The 5,322-nt window shown below is 57.6% G+C and overlaps 1 protein-coding gene across 1 annotated transcript in view; it reads left to right on the top strand.

Annotated features, from left to right (window-relative positions):
* Nucleotides 3,257-5,322, top strand: part of SLC8A2 (solute carrier family 8 member A2) — a 43,877-nt gene continuing 41,811 nt past the window's right edge. The window contains exon 1 of the mRNA NM_015063.3: nucleotides 3,257-3,361. The gene's annotated coding sequence lies outside the window, so the exon portion shown is untranslated. The remainder of the gene's footprint in view (nucleotides 3,362-5,322) is intronic.

Genomic DNA, 5,322 nt, shown 5'->3' with positions numbered 1-5,322 from the left:
TTTCCCAGTTGTCTCGATTCTTTTTTTCGGCAAGCATTTGGTGAGCACCTGCTGTATGCCTGGCTCTGTGTTGGATGCTGGATTCACCCAGAGGAATTGAGGGAGAGGGATTTGGGGGAGAGGGAATCCAAGGCTAGACCCAGATACAGGCCGGAGGTTAGATCCCAGGGTAGAACCCAAGAGAAAGAAATGGGGTGACACCTTAGCAGAAAGGCTAAAAGTTAAACCACTGTGGAACAGATTACGTAAAATGGAAGGGAAAGAGCTGAGGTTAGACCCTAGTGGAGAGAGCTGACATGAGACCCCAGTGGAAAGATCTAGATCTAAGGGTAGATCCCAGTGGAAAGGTAAGGAGCTTGAGCGTTTAGAGGAAAACTTGTGGGTAGAAAGGGCTGCTGTGGGAAAGCAGTGGTCCATTTGTAGCAGAGGGTCTGAGGCTAGACTCCCTATGAATAATGCTGAGGTTGGACCCCAACAAAAAATTGCTATGGCCAGATCCTGTGCAAGGGGCCAGGGTTAAACCCCAGCAGAAAGTGAGCTTAGTTCCCAGTGGAGAGCACTGAGGCAAGACCCAGGGAGAAGACCCAGGCTAGACCATGCTGGAAAGGGCTAAGCTTAGACCTAATCTAAAAAGCCTAGGGGGTTGGGGGCCCAGGGAGTGGGAGACAAGCCTGATTCTCCCAGCCTGTGGTGGTAGGAGTTGCCTTGCCTGTGGTCTTTTGTGTGTGTGTGAGAGACGGAGTCTCATTCTGATGCACTGGTTGGAGTGCAGTGGCGCGATCTCGGCTCACTGCAACCTCCACCTCCTGGTTCAAGCGATTCTCCTGCCTCGGCCTCCTGAGTAGCTGGGATTACAAGCGTACGCCACCACGCCTGGCTAATTTTTTTGTATTTTTAGTAGAGACAGGGTTTCACCGTGTTGGCCAGGCTGGTCTCAAACTCCTGACCTCAGGTGATCTGCCCGCCTCGGCCTCCCAAAGTGCTGGGATGACAGGCGTGAGTCACTGAGCCCGGCCTCCTGTGCTCCGTTCTGTATTACCAGGAGAAGGAATCAGAGGCCTGTGTCTCTAGGATCAGTGGAGGGTGGGAACGATGGAAGTCTTGTCCTCCGTCCACTGCAGGCCAGGAATAGAATCTGGGTCAGCAGGGTTGGGGGATGATCATTCCCTGGGCCGTATCCAGGCTGGGGGCAGGGGTTGGGCAGGACATCTGCTTCCTGGGGGTTCAGGGGAGAGGCAGACACCGTAGTCATTTTGGCCATCTGTCTACCTCCCGCTATGGAGGTCCACTCAGAAGTCTGACCACCAGCACTGACAGGGAAGACCCAGCCACCAGTTCTCTACCGAGCGTTTATGGGAGTTAGGAGCTCAGCAACTCCTGGCCACCCCTGTCTTCACCCTCTTTCCCAGAAGCCAGGCCCAGGCGTGGGAAGTTGGAGGAAGCCGGATCCTCTCCCTCCCCTGGCCAGCAGGCCTGACGGTGTCCAGCCAGGACTGGCAGTGGGCAGGACCGGTGGCACGAGCAAGGCCCCCTCCCTCCCACTGTCCGCCTCTAGAGAAGGAGCACTCCACACCGACTAACACGCCATCACCCCCTGTTGTGGGGGGGAGCAGGATTGGGGGTGGGTGTAGTGCTGGTGTGCCTTGCAGAGGTGTGTGCTTGCGTGGGGGTATGTGTGTGGGCCCATCGCAGGGTGCATGAGTTTGTGTCTTCAGGAGCCCAGGCCACCTGCCTGGCCCTTTGCAGTTCATTTCTTTCTTTTTTTTTTTTTTTTTTGGAGATGGAGTCTCACTCTGTCACCCAGGCTAGAGTGCGGTGGCATGATCTCAGCTCACTGCAGCCTCCACCTCCCAGGTTCAAGCGATTTCTCCTGCCTCAGCCTCCCAAGTAGCTGGGATTACAGGCGTGTGCCACCTGGCCTGGCTAATTTTTGTATTTTTAGAAGAGACAGGGTTTCGCCATGTTGGCCAGGCTGGTCTCCAACTCCTGACGTCAAGTGATCTGCTCGCCTCAGCCTCCTAAAGTGCTGGGATTACAGGCGTGAGCCACCGCACCCAGCCTGCAAGTCTCTTCTTGACCTGACCCGTCCTCAGCCTGGGGAATTGTGCGGTGCAGCAGTTAAGGGTGTAGAATCTGGAGCCATATTTACCACCTCATGCCTTGGTTTCCCTGTCTGTAAGTGAAGCTCATAATAGCATTTACCTAAATTTATAAAAAACATTAGAACATGCCAGGTGCGGTGGCTCTCACCTGTGCGGTGGCTCTCACCTGTAATCTCAGCGCTTTGGGAGGCCGAGGCAGAAGGATTGCTTAAGCCCGGGAGTTGGAGACTAGCCTAGGTAAAATAGTGAGACCCCGTCTCTTAAAAAAAATGAAGAGAAAAAAAGCCTGGCGTGGTGGTGGTGGGCACCTGTAGTCCCAGCTACTCGGGAGGCCAAGGCAGAAGGATCGCTTGAGCCCAGGAGTTGGAGACCAGCCTGGGTAACATGGTGAGATCCCATCTCCTAAAAAAAAAAAATGGAGGGAAAAAGCCTGGCGTGGTGGTGGCGGGCACCTGTAGTCCCAGCTACTCAGGAGGCTGAGGCAGGAGGATTGCTTGAGCCCAGGAGGTTGAGGCTGCAGTAAGCCAAGATCGTGCCACTGCACTCCAGCCTGGGTGACAGAGTGAGACCCTGTCTCAAATAATAATAATGTGCTGCCGATGCCAGGCACGTGGTCAGGGCTGCCTGTATGTATGGCAGCTGTTGTTATTCTTATTAATGGGTGTCTTTGTGGTTGTTTCTGGCCTCCTTTGTGAGGCTGTGCAGGCACAGTATGTGAATTTGGATCTGACTCCAGCTAAACATTCTTGCCCTCCCCCTAGTTCTGTAAGTCTGTAACTATTTGTAGCTGTTGGCCCTTGTATGGCTGGGAGACTGCGTGCGTGTGTGTGTGTGCGTGTGTGTGTGTGTGTGTTGGGGGGCGGGGGCTGCTTCTGAAACACACAGGAGCGCCCTCCGGTGCTGTCCCCTGCCTCTGGTGCTGAACCCGGAGGCTGGGGAGGAGGCTCGGGCTCCCTGCTCCCCCAGGCCCCTCCCCGGGCCTCCCCCCGCCTCCCGCACCGCCTTCCCTCTGCCCGCCTCCGCCTCCTCCCCCTCTCTCCGGCTCCTCCCCCTCCCTCGCTCCCTCGCCGCCTCCCCCTCCCCCGTGTCCCTCCCCTCTCCTCTTCTCCTCCCTCTATCCCCTCTCCCTCCCCTCCTCCCCGGCTCTCCCTCTCAGTCTCAGGCTTTTCTCTCTCTCAATCTCTCTCTCTCTTTCGGGCGGAGTCGCCCACCACTGCCAGCCCAGCGCTGGGGGGACCTGCTCCAGGCTGTAGCCGCAGGTAAGAGACCCCATTGGTGGGGAGGTGGGGGCGTGGGAAAAGGACGGGGTTACCCCAGGTGCGGAGTGGGGGCGGTTCGGGAAGCCTGGAGCTGGCTTCCCTGGGCTGGTTTATGGAGGTGGGGGGCTGCCTGGCCCAGCACGCGTACCTTCTGTGGGGTGGGAGTGCCACCAGCCGCCCCAACACCTTCAGTCCCTCCTGGTTCTCGGGCGGCTGGGGAGGGGGACCGCCTGGGTACTGGGGGGCGAGGACACCCCGCCCCCACCCCGTCTGGGGCACCCCCCCTCGCGCTCTCTACCTCTGCCCCCGCCTTCCTGTGTCTGGGTCTCATCTTTCTGTCTCTCCACATGTCTCAGGGGTCTCTGTCTAGCAGAGTCTGGCCGCCTCTGGGAGTCCCTGTCTCTCAGTCTCTCACTCCTGTCTCCCTCTCTCTGTGTCTCTGTGCCGGGGTCTGTTCGGAGTCTCTCTGGGGCTCTGTCTCTAAGTCCTGGGTTTCTCTCTCCTTTCCTCTTGCGCCATCTCTGTTTCTCTGTGTCTCTGTGTCTCTGCCTCTCTCCCTTGTCTCAGCTTTCCTGTGTCTCTCTCTGTCTCTGCTTTCTCTGTGTCTCTGTCTCTTCCCATGTCCGCATGTCTCTCTCTCTCTCTCTCTCTCTCCCTCCCTCCCCATCTCCCCCTCGTCTCCATCTCTGTCTCTGGATATCTCAGTCTCTGTTTCTCTCTCTCTTTCCTCTTCTCTGGCTCTCCCTGGGAGCCAGTGCACCCTCCTCCCACACACCTTTGTCTCCGCCCCTGGCAGGGGGGACCTGGAGGAATTAGACCCCCCCACCCGCAGAGTGGGCTCCCCCAGGCCTGGAGTCCTCTAAACTCCTCTCCCCACTTCAGCAGAGCTCCCCTGCTCTCTCCACTCCTCCCAGCCGGCACCCACCCCAGCTCTCCCCTGAGGACCGAGCCCACCTCCCCCTGCCTTGTTTCTGGCGTTCTGAGGCCGGTCCTTCTTGCAGTTTAACCGGTAGCCTCTGTAGTAGAGATGAGACCAGACCTCCCTTCAATCTAACCTCCCCAGTCTTCCTCGTGTAACTGGACCAGTCCTTCCTGCCGTCTCACTTCCATACCTCTTGCTGTTTGTCCAGCTCTTGATTCATTCATTCTTGTTGATAATTACTGAGCGCCTTTCCTGCTCTGGGCAAGCACTAGGTACTGAGTTAGACCGGGCCAGTCCTTCCTGCAGTCTCACTTCCATCCCTTTCCTGGTGTGCCAGCCTCACACTGTCTCAGTGGGGGGTGCTGAGAGGGCCCTGGCCAACACACTGTCTGCCTTCCTTGAGAGAAGGGGGCCCTGGAGAAGGTGGGCAAGAGAGTGAGTGATGGCGAAAAGGTACGAGGCTGTGCCTGTAGCCCTGGTGTGTGTGTGTGTGTGTGTGTGTGTGTGTGTGTGTGTGTATGATGTCTCCCTGGCTGCAGGTGAGGTCCCAGCCCTGTGTGACAGTGCCCACGGAGGGGGCTTCAGATGGCTTTAAAGAGCACTAGGTTAAGAGCCCTGTTCCTCCTCTGGGCCTCAGTTTACGTATTATCAGTGTATCACAGCCTCGAGCACCCAAGCTCTGTGGTGTGATCCCCACACTGGACCATTTTGAGGTGATGGGAGCGCCTGCGCTCATGCTGGGGCAGTAAATGTGCATGTTTAGAAGTCTGAGTCCCCAGCTCGGTCCTGCAAGGGCCAGCCCCCCAACACAGGCACAGTCAGAAAAGCACCCTCCCTTGCCGCCCCACTGTGGGGTGGTAGCGTGAGGGATATGAAGGACGGGTCTTACCTGGCACGCCAGACTGCACCCACCCCCAGGCATGCAGTCCTGTTCTTCTGATCAAGGACCTAAGAGGCACGTGAGGCAGAACAGGGGTGCTCACTGCCGACCCAGCTGGCCGCACGCCCACGAAGGGAGGGAGAGATGGCCCTGGGAGAC

Source organism: Homo sapiens, chromosome 19, assembly GCF_000001405.40.
Source record: "Homo sapiens chromosome 19, GRCh38.p14 Primary Assembly".
NCBI classification, from domain to species: Eukaryota; Metazoa; Chordata; class Mammalia; order Primates; family Hominidae; genus Homo; species Homo sapiens.
Note: the sequence above shows the minus strand (reverse complement) of the source record. Positions and strands in the feature narration are given on the sequence as shown.